The sequence below is a fragment of the Homo sapiens genome, chromosome 10, assembly GCF_000001405.40.
Source record: "Homo sapiens chromosome 10, GRCh38.p14 Primary Assembly".
NCBI classification, from domain to species: domain Eukaryota; kingdom Metazoa; phylum Chordata; class Mammalia; order Primates; family Hominidae; genus Homo; species Homo sapiens.
The window spans coordinates 97,462,011-97,480,616 of NC_000010.11; the positions used below are offsets into that span (position 1 = coordinate 97,462,011).

At 45.3% G+C, this 18,606-nt stretch overlaps 1 protein-coding gene across 23 annotated transcripts in view; it reads right to left on the minus strand.

Annotated features, from left to right (window-relative positions):
- Nucleotides 1–18,606, minus strand: part of MMS19 (MMS19 cytosolic iron-sulfur assembly component) — a 40,471-nt gene that overhangs the window by 3,687 nt on the left and 18,178 nt on the right. For 5 of the 23 annotated variants that reach the window (NM_001289405.2, XM_047425624.1, NM_001351357.2 and 2 more), the window contains 18 exons: nucleotides 16,294–16,379; nucleotides 15,845–15,919; nucleotides 15,337–15,406; nucleotides 14,825–14,953; nucleotides 14,673–14,734; nucleotides 8,765–8,851; nucleotides 8,119–8,193; nucleotides 7,636–7,713; nucleotides 6,956–7,094; nucleotides 6,242–6,396; nucleotides 5,495–5,573; nucleotides 4,766–4,891; nucleotides 4,494–4,575; nucleotides 4,049–4,149; nucleotides 3,795–3,944; nucleotides 1,848–2,003; nucleotides 573–672; nucleotides 7–109 (listed from right to left, as the gene is read on the minus strand). In NM_001289405.2, coding sequence (NP_001276334.1) covers nucleotides 7–109; nucleotides 573–672; nucleotides 1,848–2,003; nucleotides 3,795–3,944; nucleotides 4,049–4,149; nucleotides 4,494–4,575; nucleotides 4,766–4,891; nucleotides 5,495–5,573; nucleotides 6,242–6,396; nucleotides 6,956–7,094; nucleotides 7,636–7,713; nucleotides 8,119–8,193; nucleotides 8,765–8,851; nucleotides 14,673–14,734; nucleotides 14,825–14,953; nucleotides 15,337–15,406; nucleotides 15,845–15,919; nucleotides 16,294–16,379 — 1,853 coding nt within the window. Of the gene's footprint in view, nucleotides 1–6; nucleotides 110–572; nucleotides 673–1,847; nucleotides 2,004–3,794; nucleotides 3,945–4,048; nucleotides 4,150–4,493; nucleotides 4,576–4,765; nucleotides 4,892–5,494; nucleotides 5,594–6,241; nucleotides 6,397–6,955; nucleotides 7,117–7,635; nucleotides 7,714–8,118; nucleotides 8,194–8,764; nucleotides 8,852–14,672; nucleotides 14,735–14,824; nucleotides 14,954–15,336; nucleotides 15,407–15,844; nucleotides 15,920–16,293; nucleotides 16,380–18,230; nucleotides 18,348–18,606 lie in introns of those variants that run through there. The other 18 variants (NM_001351356.2, XM_047425625.1, NM_001351359.2 and 15 more) reach the window with 17 other exon arrangements.

An 18,606-nucleotide genomic window follows, 5' to 3' on the forward strand; every position in this document is an offset into this window, starting at 1 on the left:
TGTTACCTGGAATGGCTGGAATCTGCTCGGGAAGCTGTTTTCAGGCAGAAAGGACACGTTGCCATCCAAGAAGAGGGGCACAATGTGTGTCACACTCTGGGCAGCTAACCTGGGGGCAGAGTACTAGGTATGACCAAGGAGCTAGGATTCTAAAGCAGCCCTCTCCTCCACAGACGTGCTTTTCAACCTAGGGTTTGAATTAGGATCACCACGTCAATGGGACATGCCCTGATCATTCATGCATTGAACAAATATTAATTTGGCACATATGTGCCAGTAATCATTTCCATTCAGGTTCCCATCTGGGAAGTCAAGGTATATTTTAAAATGCTCTACAGGTAATTCTTAAGCACATCTGCGGCTAAGAACCACTGGCCCTGGCTTCCCACCCTCATAGTCCATGGTGCTAAGAGCCCCTTCCTTTTGTTTTGTCAACAAAACTTACAAGACGATTAACTGCACCACATTTACATATAGGTAAAAGGACAGCTGACAAGGCAGCTACCTGTTGCTTCTTCCTAAGAATGCTATCCTTCTCCCTGGGTTCAAGCCACATCCATGATTATACTTACTCAGGGCTCAGGTGGGTTGTAGCAGTGCCAATGACAGACACCATGGCAGCCAACACCTCATCCTCCAATAGTACTTTTCTCAGAACTGAGGGCTCCTTCTCTGCAAAACACACACACATGCACACAATCACAAGACCATGACGGGTTCAAGAAATGAATGATTGGGTTCTGTCAGCATCACTGACTCTGGGGCTTGACTCTAGCCACGACAGCAGTTCTTAATCTGGTCTCTGGTAGTGCTATAGTCCTGAGAATCAGGGCACCAGAAACAGGAGTGGTCTGACCTGGGGCCACAGAGCGCTCCTGAGAACTCTGCACAGTCTTTAGACTAGGCCAACAGTGGGAAAGAGGGATAGCTAAGATGAACATTCTTAACATAAGAAATAGAAATGTTGTCCCTGGTGTCCCTGGAGATGCAAGGAAAAAAAAATAGTAATGTTGGTCTCTGAAAAAATTAAAAACATAGATTTATCTTCATGGGTCCTTATTATTTATAGCAACTATCATACACTGAGTACTTCCTATGTGGCAGGTACTATACACTAACTTATTTAATCCTTACCAACTACCCTGTGAAACAGTTTTTTTTTTTTTTTTTTTTGAGACAGGAACAGGATCTCGCTCTGTCACCCAGGCTCGAGTGCAGAGGCACAATCATGCCTCACTGCAGCCTTGAACTCCTGGGCTCAGGTGATCCTCCCACCTCAGCCTCTTGAGCAGCTGGGACTATAGGTGTGCACCACTATGTCTGACTATTTGTAGAAACAGGGTCCCCTGTGTTGCCCAGGCTGGTCTCAAACTCCTGGACTCAAGTGATCCTCCCATCTTGGCCTCCTGAAGTGCTGGGATTACAGGTGTGAACCATGGCGCCAGCCTAGACGGTACTCTTTATCTCCATCTTACAAGTGAGGAAATTGAAGCGTGGAAAGGCTGAATATCTTCACCTAAGTTAGCAAGTGGTAGAGTTGAGGATAAAACCCAACCAGGTGGGCTTGACTCCAGAGTCCAATTCTAAGTAAACTAATCACATAGCACTTCATGGGGAAAAGGTGTGCATTCTTTTGAATGTTGCTAACACTAGTGGATTTTGGTTCCTGCCACTGGTCAGGGTGGCACCCTTTGCTATGAAGTGAAATCTCACTCTGAGGACAAAGGATTGAAAATAAACCTCTGATGGTACAAAATACAGTACCACCAATACCCAGAGGGTGGTGCTGTTCAACACCAGCAGAGGGCAAAGTTCCCAAAGGCCAGGAAGGAGAGGTGGAAAGTTACCTGGCATAGAGGCCTGCACAGCCAAGGCAAGCAGGCAAGGTATAGCTGTCTGGTGGAAATACCAGCAACTCTCAGGGTCCTGCTGACATTTTTCTGCCATCTGTCTGAGGCTCTGACAGACAGCAATAACGTCACTGGATTGTGCAACCATATTCCCTGTTGATGAGAAAGTGTTCTCTGTAAGGTTTGCTTAAAAGCACTTTCAGGTGTTTCCAATTACACAGCAGATGAGAGGAACAAAGAAGAGTGACTGAAGGGACCAAGAGTGCCTTATTAAAAAGCTGAGTCACTTTATTCTCCTGGCTGTTCTTTCTGATCTATTCAGACTTCATAGTTGAGACTTGCTCTGTCCCAGGCTCTGCAGCAGAAGCACTTGTATATATTCTCTCCTTATTTTTCATAACAACCTTAGAAGTATCATTTCCCTCACTCTATAGAGAAGGACATGGAGGCACAATGAAATACATGATCAGTGGCTTTTCCAGGGTCACAGGAAGTGCAAAGTCAGGAATCAAGCCCAAGTTATAATCCAAGTCTAGTATTCATTCTACTATGTAACAGCTGCTGGATCAACCACAGTGGGCCTGAATCTACCCACAGGGCAGGCTGCTGTCACTTTTGCATTGGAGCAGTGCTTCTCAAACTCAACAGTCTACGAGTTACCAGGGTACACTGTCAAAATGCAGATTCTGATCAGTGAGGGCCTGAGATTCTGCACTTCTAACAAGCTCCCAGATGTCACCCATGCTGCTGGTTAACAGACCATCTTTTGAGCACCACGGCCTTAGGGTGATGCCTCTCAATTCAGATCCCACATGAAAATTACCTAGGTAATTTTTTTTTTTTTTTTTGGAGACAGGGCTTCACTCCTGTTGCCCAGGTCAGGCTGGAGTGCAATGGAGCGATCTCGGCTTGCTCCAACCTCTGCCTCCCGGGCTCAAAGTGATTCTCCTGCCTTAGCCTCCCAAGTAGCTGGGACTACAGGTGCATGCCACTGCTCCTGGCTAATTTTTGTATTTTTTGTAGAGATGCGGTTTCGCCATGTTGCATCGGCTGGTTAGGTCTCAAACTCTTGAGCTCAAGTGATCCATCAGCCTTGGCCTCCCAAAGTGCTGGGATTACAGGCATGAGCCACCACACCCAGCCCGGCACTTTTTTTTTTCTTTTTTGAGATGGAGTTTCACCCTGTTTGCCCAGGTGTGAGTGCAATGGCATGATCTTGGCTCACTGCAACCTCCGCCTCCCAGGTTCAAACGATTATCCTGCCTCAGCCTCCTGAGTAGCTGGGATTACAGGCGCCTGCCACCATGACCAGATAATTTTTAGTAGAGACGGGATTGCACCATGTTGGTCAGGCTGGTCTCAAACTCCTGACCTTGTGATCCACCCGCCTCAGCCTCCCAAAGTGCTGGGATTATAGGCATGTGCCACTGCGCCCAACCCTTTTTTTCTTTTGAGATAGAGTTTCACTCTATTGCCCAGGCTGGCCAGGCTGGAGTACAGTGGCGCAATCTCAGCTCGCTGCAACCTCCGCCTTGTGGGTTCAAGAGATTCTCCTGCCTCAGCCTCCCCAGTAGCTGGGATTACAGGCGCATGCCACCATGCCCAGCTAATTTTTTGTATTTTTAGTAGAGACTGGGTTTCTCCATGTTGGCTAAGTTGGTCTCAAATTCCTGACCTCAAGTGATCTGCTGGCCTCGGCCTCCCAAAGTGCTGAGATTACAGGCAAGAGCAGCGGCCCTGGCCGGGTACTCTTAATAGTACTGTTGCCTAAGTCCCATCCCTCCTCAGAGACTGATTCAGTTGGACGCAGGCATCAGTATTTTTTTTTTCTTTTAAAAGAGTTGATTCTGTTACTCTTATGTATAGCTACAGCTAGAACCACTGCCTTAGAGACTACAGCTCCCTATTCAGCCCAGTCCGTTGGTGGTTATTCCTAGTAGTTACCTCTGTTCACTTGCCAGAGATGCTGCAGCAGCAGAGGCAGTGTCTCCTTGACGATGCTGGGATGTGTTGATACAGCTGACAAGGCTTGCAGACAGCACAGATGCCGGGAGCATTGGGTGGGCTCATCTCCGTTAGTCAAATTTGACTCCCCTGAAAGCAACCCATGAGACAAAGGTTTACTGTGTGATAGGAAGCACGAAGGCCCCAAAGCCTTGCTGGAAAGGGATGGGCCACAGAGGATTAGAGACACATACCTACACGCAGCTCCTCAGCGAGCTTGGGTACGAGGTGGCTGCTGAAGGCCACAGGGTAGAGAGCAGCCAGGGTTCCTGATGCTTCCAGTGCTGCCACCCTGCTGGAGGCGCAGAGCAGATAAGCATTGGCTGAGCCTGGGCTCACAGCTCTCTTGCCTACGTCTGATATTAGGCAGATTCAGGAGTGTGAGCTCCCAACGCCTCCTTGCTAAAGAGCAGAACTCAAGTACCTACACCACTGAGTTGGACAGGGCTTCTTAAAGCCTAAGAAGAGAGCAGTCCTACATCTCTCCAACTGGTTAGCAGCCAGAGTCTAACACAGAGCTCACCTCCCCTAAGGAGAGCCAAGGGTCAGAAGCACAGAGCCCTGGTCCTAGCTTGATCTTTTGCTGCCAATACAGAGGCAGGGAACAGCTTGCTCTATCTCATTGCTTTAAATTCTCACCAACTCTGGGAATCCTCCTTCAGGAAGCTCAGTCTGTACAGGTGACCCACTGCCAGCTCCAAGTCCTCATAAGATAGGAGATCTGTAGTTAGAAGGGAACATGAATCTCATCTTTCTTCCCCTGCAGCCATCACAACCCTTCTAAGCTCTTATTAGAAATCCCAAATCATCCAGAGTTGCAGTAAGAAGAGGATAGTAAGGCTGCTTTTCACCAAGGCAGTCTTACAAGAAAAGGACCAATATTTTCCTCTTCTCTTTCCCTTAAGATGTACCTGGCTGGGCACCCAAGACTGTCAGTGTACGGATGCCAACAAGCTGAAGCTGGGTGCTGGGGTCTGTTAGAGCCATGAATACCAGTGAGCACAGCTGGTCCTTGAAGCCATTCAGAGGCCTTTGATCTAGGGAAGAGACAGAGGCCAGGTTAGAAGGAAGCCACTGCATTCCATATCCCTGACTAAGCTGTGATACACAGCCAACCTGGGGTAGATTTTTTTTTTGAGACAAGGCCTCTGTTGCCCAGGCTGGAGTGCAGTGGCGTAATCTCGGATCACTGCAGCCTCTGCCTCCCAGGTTCAAGCCATTCTCCTGCCTCAGCCTCCCGAGTAGCTGGAATTACAGGCATGTGCCAACAGGCCTGGCTAATTTTTGTATTTTTAGTAGAGACAGGGTTTCACCATATTGGCCAGGCTGGTCTCGAACTCCTAACCTCAAGTTTTCCGCCTGCCTTAGCCTACCAAAGTGCTGGGATTATAGGTGTGAGCCACCATGCCCCGCCTCCTGGGGCAGATTTAAAGAGCTTAATCCATTGGGTATCCAGAAAGCACACTGAGAAAAATAAACAGATCTCATCCATCTCATCTGTTAAGTGTTCTCTTGTGCTACAACCTCAGAATAGGACCACTGTTCTAGACTACTTTTCCACAGCACTCTTTGCCCTGCTATCCTTTATAGGCTGAAGTGTTCAACAGTCCCCAGAGCACTGCAATGGAAGGCAACCTCACCTTTGTCTTCATAGCTCCATTTCTGCTGCAGCTTCAAGAAACCCAGGAGCATTTCAAGGATTGTCCGCCGCTGGCTGCTCTGTAACGTTTCAAGGGGTACTAGAGTCAAAGAATATTTTAAAGGATTTCAATCCTGCTACTCTGGATATAGGGAAAATTCTTTCTTTCTTCCAAGAGATGGGGGTTTTGCTATGCCACAGCCAGGCTGGAATACAGTAGCATGATTATAGCTCCCTGCAGCCCCGACCTCCTAGGTTCAAGTGATTCTCTCGCCTCAGCCTCTTGAGTAGCTGGGACTACAGATGCGTGCCACCTTATCCAGCTAATTTTTTTTTTTTTTTTTTGTAGAGATGTGGTCTTGTCTTGTTGCCCAAGCTGGTCTTTAAATCCTAGCCTCAAGTGATTGTCCTGCCTTGGTCTCCTAAAGTGCTGGGATTACAGGCATGAACCAGCATGTCCTGCTTGGCTAATTTAAAAAAAATTTTTTTTTTTTTAGAGATGGGATCTCACTTTGTTGCCCAGGCTGATCTTGAACTCCTGGCTTCAAGCTATCCTCCTGTCTTGGGAGAATGATCCTTTTATGTATGAGACAGGGAAAAAGTGAGTAAGGGAAGCAGCAGCAGCAGCTAATGGGAGCAAAACCCAAGGTCTACTATGTTGGCCCAAGCTAAAACTTAGCTCACTCTCTGAGAAAGGGAACCTAGCACACAGGTCCCATCATTTCCCCCAAAGATTCTGCTCCCTTACCTGACTGTGCTTGTGGAACTGTTCCAGCAGTAAAGGCAGTACATTGCTGGTGACAGAGTCACAGGCCCGGGCAGATGCACCTGCAGCTGCCTGCAACAGCTTGGCACTAGGCCACACCAGTTTCATGTCCGGTTCACACAGGTGGTGCCTGCAGTCTAGAGAAGCAGCACATCACAGAGCTGGGGAGGAGGCCAAATGGTGCCTGACTCCCCTACAGTCCACAGAGGTTGGAGACTGAGACCCATGACAGTTTGCAAGCAGTTAACACTCAAATTGTTTTCAATTCAAAGTAGGGCTATCGCCCCCAAATCACCAAATATGTTGGGACTAAACAATAAAGGTCACTGGCCCTTAAGGAATGTCATTTGTTTTTTTTTTAGAGATGGAGTTTTGCTCTCGTTGCCCAAGCTGGAGTGCAGTGGCGCAATCTCAGCTCACCGCAACCTCTGCCTTTTCAAGCGATTCTCCTGCCTCAGCCTCCCGAGTAGCTGGGATTACAGGCGTCCACCACCACGCCCGGCTAATTTTTGTATTTTTAGTAGAGACGAGGTTTCACCATGTTGGCCAGGCTGGTCTTTAACTCCTGACCTCAGGTGATCCACCCGCCTCGGCCTCCTAAAGTGCAGGGATTACAGGCGTGAGCCACCGCACCCAGGCAAGGAATGTCGTTTCTATTGTGCTCACTCCCCTTCCTGGCTGCCACGGCCCCATTACCCTGTAGAATGTTGCTAAGGAAGGAGTCAAGGAGGTCCTCAGCATCAGCCCTCAGCACAGAGCGAGACAAACACGCAGTCAGGGAGTGGAGGGCCGCCAGGCCCTCTGCCTCCACCCGCTCACTTGCCGTCTGGAACACCTGTCAGGGAGGGATCCCATGGCTACTGAGGTGAGCCTGCACCAGATGAGACCCCACCAATCCACTGCCTATTTCCTTGTTGGAGAGGGGAGTGAGAACCTCTAGGACACAGAAATGGAAATTAACACCCCAACTGAGTGTCTTCTCAATTGGTGTGTTCTTACCAAGTCCTTAGTCACACTCAGGACAGAGACACATACTTTCTGAGAAACAAAAAGCCAACTCTGAGCAGTGGCTCTGCTCACCTTTCTATTCACCATGGTGCCAAAGGCACCATGACCTGCACTCCTTGCCACAGAAGGACAAGAAGTGGGTAATGTGCAAAGGTGATCAGCTGCTCTTACCAAGCAGCTGACCGTCACATAGGGACTCTCTCTCTTGTCATTCAACTAGAATTATGTCCCCCTACTTGCCTCCTGAATAACCAGGCATTATATCTTGGCCCTGGGGATGACAGAGGGAAAAGGACAGGATGTATTATTTCCCCTCATGCCTGACAATTGAAAGTTAACAGTAGTGAGTTTATCTGAGTGACACTCACCTCTCTGCGGATAGAAGCCCAAAGGCTGGGGAGGAAGTCCTTCAGTTCCTTCTGTCCATACACAGCACAGCAAGCATTCTGCCAAGGAAACCGCTGCTATCAGTTATGTACACACTCAGACACCCTAGGATGTGCAGGTACCTCAGCATAATGGCACCTGAAGGAGCCCTGGTCTCAGCAGAAAAACCAGTTAAGATTTTTAACAGTCCTACTAAGGGAACAGAGAAGTAGGAGATAACCCTGGTTGATAAAATAGAAGCCTAAAGAGGGAGTCCTGGTCAGCCTTTCCTCAGTTACTATGGGATGGGGGATGGGACACGACGATATGCAGCTGGGGGCTTCAGGTCGACACAAAGGCCCAAATCCTGGGTATCCTCTTCTGAGGCCCATGAACTGTTCCTTGGCTATCCTAGAATCTATATCCTTTAGGACCCCTAACTTGTCAAAAGGTAGCTGGGTCCTGCAAGGAGAAAAATCACTCACCAGAGTCTGTAGAGAATCCAACTTGGCACTCAGAACCTCAGAATCCACTTTCTCAATCAACAGGGGCAGCAGAAACTGTGGGACAGAAGGAAGATCTTAAGCCTGAGATGGGTGGTGTGTCAGTCACATCAAGGTCAACCCTGTCCTTGCCATCAGTCCCTAAAAGCAGGTACTACATCAAGGAGCTGTACTCAAGTCAGGAGCTATGAATGTAAGCTAACCTTCCTGCCAAGCAGTGACCAGAGCCCCACTACCTCAAAAACAGGCAAGTTGACAAAGTTACAGGATTTTAAAAGACAGCACCATATAGGGATTGGGTTTATTTATTTTTTTGTGTAGCGGAGACGAGGTCTCCCTATGTTGCCCAGGCTGGATTTGAACTCCTGGGTTTAAGTGATCCTTTCCACTCAGACTCCTCCTGAGTAGCTGGAACTATAGGTGTGTGCCACTGAATCCAGCTCTGGATTATGAAGAGATGGTAAAGTTTTCTACATCGAAGGTCTGAAGATACCTGCCACACAAGACACTTGCAGGGTGTCATGCCCTAAAATGTATACCAGATATTTTTTTCTCCATGCTTTTACTGCTCTTTCTTCAGAGCCATCTATGGGCAGAGGCTATATACCCTAACCTTGGCTAGACCCACCTCAGCAAATCGTGGTGTAGAAGCCAGCACAGCGCGAAGACTCAGGATGAGGTCTTCTCTCTGGATACCATGGGGATCATTAGGTGGCTGGAAAAGGGAGAAGGGCTGTGGGTTTGTGTAACATTTCAGACCACCTTGAACACAGGCTCGAACCTGGTAACCCTGCAGAACAGGGTGATACTCATACCCAATCAGGGAAGATAGTAAGATAATGAGGCCCCAGCAAGAAGACTTGCTTGATCTTAGGTACTCCTTGGGAACTTTTGTCTTTAGGCATTTTAAAAAATCTGATTACACATTTTCTATCATTTCACCACTCAGAAATAAGCATGCTTAACTTTCTGGTGTATTCCTTTCTTCGCTGATATATATTGTTACTATGTGCTAGTATATACTGTTTCCATATAAAATATATATATACTTAAAAATCATTTTGTACATGTGGTTTTTAATTTTTTTCACTTAACATATTAAGAACATTTTTATGGTATTATTCTTTCATAGCATTAGTTTTAGTGGCTATGATTTCATTTTGTGGTTGTACCAGTTTATCTAGATAATTCCTTGTTGATGGACATTTCCATTTTTTTCACCCTTATAAAAAGCTGTAATTCTGAAAACAGAAAGCCTTGATGGTTTCTGTACCAAGACGACAGACTGAAAACATATATCAGGTTTTCCTTTTCCTCTTTGCAAACTCCACCAAAAACATAGTAAAAGAAGGGATTTACTATTATTATTATTATTTTTTTTTGAGACAGAGTCTCACTCTGTCACCCATGCTGGATTGCAGTGGCTTGATCCTAGCTCAGTGCAACCTCCACCTCCTAGGTTCAAGTGATTCTCATGTCTCAACCTCCCAAGTAGCTGGGGTTACAGGCGCACCAACACACCTGGCTAATTTTTATATATTTTTTGTAGACATGGGGTTTCATCATGTTGGCCAGGCTGGTCTGGAACTCCTGACCTCGAATGATCCACCCACCTCAGCCTCCCGAAGTGCTGGGATTACAGGCGTAAGCCACCGAACCTGGCCTGGTTTCTGTTTTCATGACTGGACTTTGATAGAAAAGATAAAACTGTGGAATTCTCTTATAAAGTAACAAAAAGACAGAGGTACAAAATAGAAAACAAAAGGTCAGAAAATCAGAGGTCCAACAGAAGATTAATGAGAGTTCCAAAATGAAGGAACAGAGAAAAGAGAGAGGAAGAAATCATCAATTAAAGAATTCAAGAAAAATTTACAGGACTAATGGACACGGGTTACCAGATTGACAGGGCCTACTAAGTACCCAACACAGTACATGAAATAGACCAATACTAAGGCACATCACTGTGAAGTTTCAATGTATCGGGGTGAACCAAACATCAGTTTATAGAGAGGAAGAAAAAAATGGTAAATACAAAAGTTTATGAAACAGAAGAAATTCAGACTTCTCCACAGCAAATGAAAACTAGATAACTAGGCTTATTTATTTATTTGAGATGGAGTTTTGCTCTTGTTACACAAGCTGGAGTGCAATGGCACGATCTTGGCTCACTGCAGCCTCTGCCTCCAGGATTCAAGCGATTCTCCTGCCTGTCTCCCGAGTGGCTGGGATTACAGGCTCACGCCACCATGCCCGGCTAATTTTTTTGTATTTTTAGTAGAAATGGGGTTTCACCATGTTAGCCAGGCTGGTCTTGAACTCCTGACCTCAGGTGATCCGCCTGCCTTGGCCTTTCGAAGTGTTGAGATTACAGGCATGAGCCACCACGCCCAGCCAATAACTAGATTTAAATGTAGCAATGCCTTCAAAATCTTAGGAGAAAATAATTTCCATTTTTTTTTTGTTTTTGTTTTTGGTTTTTTGGTGACTGAGTCTGGCTCTGTCTTCCAGGCTGGAGTGCAGAGGCATGATCTTGGCTCAATGCAACCTCTGCCTCCCCAGCCCAAGCCATCCTCCCACCTCCACCTCCCGAGTAGCAGGGGCTACAGACTCGACCACCACGCCCAGTTAATTTTTGTATTTCTTATAGACAAGGTTTTGCCATGGTGCCCGGGCTGGTCTTGAACTCCTGAGCTCAAGCAATCCACCTGCCTCAGCCTCCCAAAGTAGCGGGATTACAAGCGTCAGTTACTGCACCTGGCCTCTTTCTCAGGTGCAATCATAGTGCACTACAGCCTCAAACTCCTGGCCTCAAGTGATTGTTCTGCCTCAGCCTCACAAGTAGCTGGGACTGCAGACATGTGCAACTGCATCCAGCTAGAATTCTCTTTTTATTTATTTTTTTTTTTGAGATGGAGTTTTACTCTTGTTGCCTAAGCTGGAGTGCAATGGCGTGATCTCGGCTCACTGTAACCTCCGCCTCCCAGGTTCAAGCAATTCTCCTGCCTCAGCCTCCCAAGTAGCTGAGATTACAGGCGCCTGCTACCACGCCTAGCTAATTTTTGTATTTCTAGTAGAGACGGGATTCCACCATGTTGGTCAGGCTAGTCTCGAACTCCTGACCTCAAGTGATCCACCCGCCTCGGCCTCTTAAAGTGCTTAGATTACAGGTGTGAGCCACTGCGCCCGGCCTAGAATTTCTATTCTTGAATTACATGCCCATAATGTCAAAAATGAGAGACAAGATTGAAGGCATTTAAGGGTTACAAATCTAAAAAATTCTCACTTCTTCATACATTCTCTCAGGAAAATACTAAAGGAAGTACACCATCAAACTGAGGGGGTAAACCACAAAATGAGGAATATGTGAACTCAGGAAACAGGAGATCTGATCCAAGAAAAAGGATAAGGGAATCTAGGATGACGGTGAAGGAAGAACCAATATCTACTCTGCATTAGGAGTAAAAATCAACCTGTTGACATTGTTTGGCTAAGAATGGTTTTAACATTTTTAATGTTTGAAACAAACCAAAAGAATATCTTGTGACAAGTGAAAATTATATGAAATTCAAAGTTTAGTGTTGATAACAAAAGTTCTATTGGGATATAGCTACTGTAGCTGTTCCTGTGTCTAAGGCTGTTTTTGTGCAGTAACAGCAGAGTTGAGGAGACCATATGACCCACAAAGCTACTGTCTGGCCTTTTATAGAAAAAGTTGGCCAGGCATGGTGGCTTATGCCTGTAATCCCAACACTTTGGGAAGTCGAGGCAGGTGGATGGCTTGAGCCCAGGAATTCAAGACCAGCCTGGGCAACATGGCAAAATCCTGTCTCTATAGAAAAATACAACAATTAGTCGGGAGTAGTGTCATGTGCCTATGGTTCCAGCTACTCGGGAGGCAGGGGTGGGAGGATCACCAGAGTACCAGAGTCCAGAGAGGTGGAGGCTGCAGTGAGCTGTGATGGTGCCACTACACTCCAGCCTGCCTCAAAAAAAAAAAAAAAAAAGGGAAAGAAAAAGTTTGCCAACCTCTTCTTAGAGTGAGCATATAAGCATAGTGAAGAAACTGAACCTTAAGCTCATCAGATCCACTATGATGGCACACAATACTGATTTGTGGCTGGATATGTGGCTCACACGTGTAATCCCAGCACTTTGGGAGGCCGAGGCAGGTAGATCAGTTGAGGTGAGGAGTTCGAGACCAACCTGGACAACATGGCAAAACCCCATCTCTACTAAAAAATATAAAAAAAAAATTAGTCAGGCATGGTGGCACGTACTGTAATCCCAGCTATTCAGGTGGCTGAGGCACAACAATCACTCGAACCCCGGAGGCAGGGGTTGCAGTGAGCAAGGATTGTGTTACTGCACTCCAGCCTGGGCAACAGAGTGAGACCCTGTCTGAAAAACAAAACAAAACAGAACAGAACCAACAACAATAAAAACCCTGATTTGTAAGACAATAAAGAGTATTTGTAACTCAAATAGTTACACTAAAGCCAAGTGTCTCTGTTTTAATTAATATCTTGATAAGAGCTTTCTGCTTCTGATAGACTGCAGTGCAGAACAACATACAAAAATCTGCTTGAATGAGAGAAATCTTCCTAATATTATCTGTAAGTTTATTTTGCCTAGATTATCTCTGTGAAAATAAACAGCTGTGAACAGTGATTGTTTCTAATGGGAAAATGGACAGTAGCAGTAAAGGGGTATGAAAGAAGTTTAATTATCTACCCTTTAAATGCTGAATCATGCTCATTGTATAACCTTTCAAAAAAATGGATGAAATACTGTTCCTCTCCCCCAAATTATAAATGCACATATTCTTTGACCTAGCGATTTCTTTTAGGAATTTATTCTATCATTATATTCATATGTATGAAAGTTGTAGCACTGCTCATAACAGCAAAAGATTAGCAACAATCCACAGAGGACTAGTGAAATTATTCATTATTTCCGGCCAAAGGAATATTATGCAGCCATAAAGAATGAAAGAGCTAACTTATATACTGACGTGGAACACTCTCCAAGACATAGTGTTCAGTGAAAAAAGCAAAGTACAGGAGAAGTGTGTGTGTGTGTGTGTGTACATGCCCGCATGTGCACACATTGATTTTAGGGGGGTGGTGGTAAAAGCATTTGCTTACATATAGATGAAAAAGCTCTGTAAAGATACAAACATAACTGATAACTTGGTTGATTATGGAGAAAAAAAGATGGTAGGGAGATTTCTCACCCTTTTGGACTTTGAATCATGTGAATGAATTATCTTTTCAAAACCAACACAAAACACAAAATAAAACAAAGTAAAGGCTGGGCATGGTGGCCCACGCCTGTAATCCCAGCACTTTGGGAGGCCGAGGCAGTTGGATCACGAAGTCAGGGGTTCAATATCAGCCTGGTCAAGATGGTGAAACCCCATTTCTACTAAAAATACAAAAAAAATTAGCCGGGCATGGTGGCGGGCGCCTGTAATCCCAGCTACTTGGGAGGCCGAGGCAGAGAATTGCTTGAACCCAGGAGGCAGAGGTTGCAGTGAGTTGAGATCGCACCACTGCACTCCAGCCTGGGAGACAGAGCGAGACTCCATCTCAAAAAAGCAAAAACCAAACCAAAACAAACAAAAAAGAAACACACACACCAAAAAAACCAAAGTAAAAACAGAAGAATGTGGGAGCTAAACCAGGATCTTTCAAGATTTCAAGGGTATAGGGTTAGAATAAGAATTCTGATTATGAAAGAGATAAAAAGATTCATTTCAGGAGACAGGTGGTCCCCAGTAACATAATGTCAACTGAAATAAGCTGGTAAGAAATTCCCTACAGCAAAGATGGTGGTGTCATTATAAAGGCAGTGAGAGTCAATATGCTGTTTGGCATGCTGCAATAGAATGCCTTTTATTTCTTTCAAACCACTAATGCTTGCAGCACACACACCCACACGGTGATGAAACTCTTGAGTATTTGGCAGTAGAAGGGAACTCAACTGCAGAATGGGAGGAAGGCCCAAGAGGGTCAGAGCAAATACCTTCTGTACACTGTGCACAATTGTGCCTTCTTTGTTTTGTCACTTTGTTTCTATAGCCTGAGATGCCCTGTCCAACTCCAGAATCATATCTTCTGCATCCCTCACAAACCAGCTGAAATCCTATCTTAACTGTGAAGTCAGTTCCTGCCTACTCTAGCTCACACTGAACTTTTGTCTTCTCTGAACAGCTATAGTACTACTCATTTTCCTACCTAATCTCCTATTGTTACTTAAATGTTTCAGCCTTCAAGGGCAGGGACAGTGTTTTGCAATCCTGTAGCCTTCAGCACTAAATACAGTGTTAAGGAGCTTAAGAATTCCCCCCAATACATGCTGCTTTGAATCATTCCTCATATGTCAAATGCTTTTCCATTTCCTAGTTTATTAAAATATAAAATAATGAGGGCGGGGATGTCTATTTTGGTGACCTGTACCCTCAGTGCCCAGAACAGGGCTTGGCACATAGCAGACACTCAATAAATATATGATCAAACAATGAAGGTGCTACTTACAGGGGTAAAATCGATAGGGAAATAACAGGATGTCACTTCAAACAACTCCTCCACAAAGGGTCCTGTGGCAACAGAGAAAAAATGAGGTTGGTTTATCAGCTTCACTCATCTGATAAAGCTCCAATGAGCTAATCATGGCTACCACGATATACCCAGGCTATAGTCCCTGGAGATGAGGTCATGGACGATGCGGAAGGCCACCAGAAGATTACGGGGATCCTTTTCCCCATCCATCACCTGGATGAAGCCAAAGGTGAAGTCAGCTCCTAGGCTCTTTAGCTCTGGGAAGGAGAGAATAAGGTTACTATACTGTCCCACAGCACAGAAAGTGTGGGCTTTCTCCTAGCCTGTGTTCTCCCTCTGCTATCATTGCCTCCCCTTTCTCTTCAGGGCTGACCCTTTTTCCATTCCAAGAAAGTACTCAGTGAAGAGATGTGCAACAATATACACATTGCTGTGGAGGCAAGAATTTAAAACACTGGCTCAAACAAACTCTACCCTTTCTTTACTTCACTGGGAGGGAGCAGACCCCCTCTTTCCCTTTATCATTCTCTCTCAGGATACCAGCTCTTCTATATAACCCCAGGTAAAATGAGTCCTACTAATAGGGGAAAAAGTAGGATGTGCTTGCTTTTGACATTTCCCAGAAAGCTCTGTCTCTTACCTTCTTCCCGGGTTCGCATAAAATTGGTGATGATATTGTAGACTGTGTGTCGGTCCACCTGTGGCAGGGACTTGGGGGTGGGGGAGAAAGAAGTGAAGAAAATGCTCAAAGAATACCTCAGCTGACACAGCTAGTTCCTGCTTCATAATCTCTAAGTGAACAGTGCTCTTTATACCAGCATAAGATCAATCTAAGAGAAACTACAGAGAAAGGGTATGGATATTGACTCAGCAGCACAGCAGTGGTGCCAATAATTCAAACCTGCCTGACAGAGGGATGCCTTACTTTCTGTAGGTATAAGAGGACACAGGTCAGATCTAATGGCATGCACCCCTTTCCTTGTCCAATAACAAAGATGAGCATATAAACATACTGAAGAAGAGCATAAAAACATTCACAAGATCCAAAAGAATTCAGAACTTAGAAGGCAATAATTTTTGCTATTGAATCCCAGTTATGTCAAGGGGTAGAGACAGAGGAGAATACCAACATGACTGTTATCCCTCACCTGTACATGCACTTCCTGGAAGATGGCTTTAAGCACAGAAACAGCCAGCCCTGGGGGCAGGGCCACACACAGGCTCTGGGGGAGAGGAGAAGGTACGTGAATACCGAAGGAATTGCAGCATGGCCTCCAAGACACAACCCTACGACAGGCCTAATTAGCTACTGTAAGAATCACAGCATCCTGGTTGAGGAAGAAGCACTAATAGTGAGACTCTTTCTCAAGCTGATGAGTTCTCTGCAGCTCTTTCCAGATGGCTCTGGTTTCCAGTCCCCCAAAGTACACTTTTACTCTCTAGAGGGAAAACGGAAGTAGAGCTGGTAACACTAATTTAGTCCCACACTTGGGCACCTGCTCCTCAGCATGTGAACCATCACACCCAAAGCGCAAGGAGAGAACTAGACAAGGGCTCCCTTGAACAAAGTTATGTAATGAAATGAAGGAAAACTCACAAGTGCCTTCAAACCCTGCAGGACAGATGGGATCACAAGATGATGGTCCTTCAGCCGGTTCTCATAGAACAGTATCAGGTGTACCACTGCACAAACCAGATTCAGCCATTAGTTGACATAGGCACGAGAAGGGCCCAAGAGCTTTGTTCCTTCCCTAAGTCTATAACAGTTGTTTCTGTTTGGGTTCCACTACAAATTTTCTCTTTCACCAAGAGACATGTCCTGTGCCTTCCCATTTGAAGGTAGACACCTGATCAGTCGGGAAAATAGGGGAACATTTCTTAATATCCATTCTCATACAGGTCCACAGTAAAACCCATTCTCAGCCCAAAACTGCCTTTCTACAGAACTAGAGTTCACAAATTTTTTCCTAAAGGGTCAGACAGTAAATATAGGCTTACAGGGTATGGTCTCTATCCCAACTACTCAACTCTGCTGTTTTAACAAAAAAGTAGCATAGACAACAGGGAAATAAATGAGTGTAGCTATGTTCCAATAAAAGTTTATAAAAACAGGTGTATGATGTGTTTTTTTTAATGTGTGACATAAATTATTTTTTCTGTGTATCTATTTTTAAATTTATATAGATGATATTATACTAAACACAAATACCCACACACATATACCCCCAAACAGGCTGTAGGTTGGGCATGTGGTGCTTGCCTATAGGGAGGCTGAGGTGGGACGATCATTTAAGCCCAGAGGTTTAAGGCCACCCTGAGCAACACAGTGAGACCCTGTCTCCAAAAAACAAATAAAAGGGGTTCCCTCTCTTGGCTTTGGAGCCCTCCCTCCCTCTGCCTCTATACAGGGAAGATTCTTCCTTCTCCCTTCCTTCTTGCCCCTTCTTGCCTATTAAACTCTCCGCTACTTAAAACCACTTCATGTGTGTCGGTGTCGTTTTATCTAAACCAGCATGAGGACCAAGAACCCTGGTGTTCCTCCACTCATTGGAGCCGTATCATTTTGGTGTGTTGGCTGGGAAAGGAAATTCGTTCATCAGACTGAAGCAATCAAACTCCAAATGGTACTGTAAACTGAACCTCACATTGACACGCCATTCTTGTGAGGACCCTTAGATCAACCCCAGGAGGAGCCCTTGCTGCTGTTCCCCATTCGACGCCCCTTTTCAGTAGGAAGTAGCCAGGAGTCATCACCCCAAACCCCGTAACAGCAGTTAGTGTGGCATCTCTACAGGGGGGAATGTTGTAGGAGTTATTAAGAAATTATTACGTGCTGCATTTGCCCCTTGAGCCAGGTGGATGTTTACTGTGTGTTATATAACTTCCTGGCTCCTTCACTGAACATGCCTAGTCCAACATTTTTTCCCAATCAGTCACATCCTGGGATCCAGTGTATAAATCTAATATCATATGTCTTGTGCATAATTCTTCCAAAGGATCTTATTTTGTGAACTATATCAGTAGTGTACATTACCATATAATGTAAAAACATCTACATATAAACAATGCAACCAACTATCCAAGTGTTATACCAACTAAAACCCCCAATAAACCTTGAACAGTTAAGAAAAAAAAAAAAGAAAGAAATTATTTTAGGCAAATAGAGAGGAAAAGGGGTCCTTGGGAAGTTTTTGTTTTTAAAAGCATCTCCAGAAAAGTTTCCTGTAAAGCCCTGGCTCTTAGTGCCAGGCCGCAACCTTTGATATGCAAATGAAATCCATTAGAAACTGGGTCCACCCAAATATGGCGATTCCCATGGCGTTCCTGCCCTTTCCCCACCTTCCTGGCAACATGGCTGCCCCCATGTATCCCCACATGTGTAGAATATCATGGTGCCCTGCATTTGCATATTAAAAGGCTCGGGTAGGAGGGCCAGCTTTTTTGCCGGCTATGTGAATGACATGCCTAGTCAAACCAATCCCCCGAGCCCTATGCAAATCAGACACCGCCTCCTCCAGCTTCTGGATATATTACCTAGCTGGTATCTGTGGCAGGCGGAGTTCCCTCTCTTGGCTTTGGAGCCCCGCTCTGTCTCTGTACAGGGGAGCTTCTTCCTCCTCCCTTCCTTCTTGCCTATTAAACTCTCTGCTCCTTAAAACCAAAAAAACAAAAAAAACAAAACAAAAAAACCAGGCTATAGTTTGCCTACCCCTGCTATACAAGATAAATAAGTTGTTGTCCTTTTTCCCCCTCAGGACCTCAAAGCATGCCGATATTTCATTACTTTTCATCTTTACCTATGAAATACTGCTCTGTTCATTTTACGGAGTGGGAAAAATACACTGAAAAAACAGTCTAAGGCTACATTTGAAATCCATGTGTCTTTCTTTTTTGAGATGGAGTCCCGCTC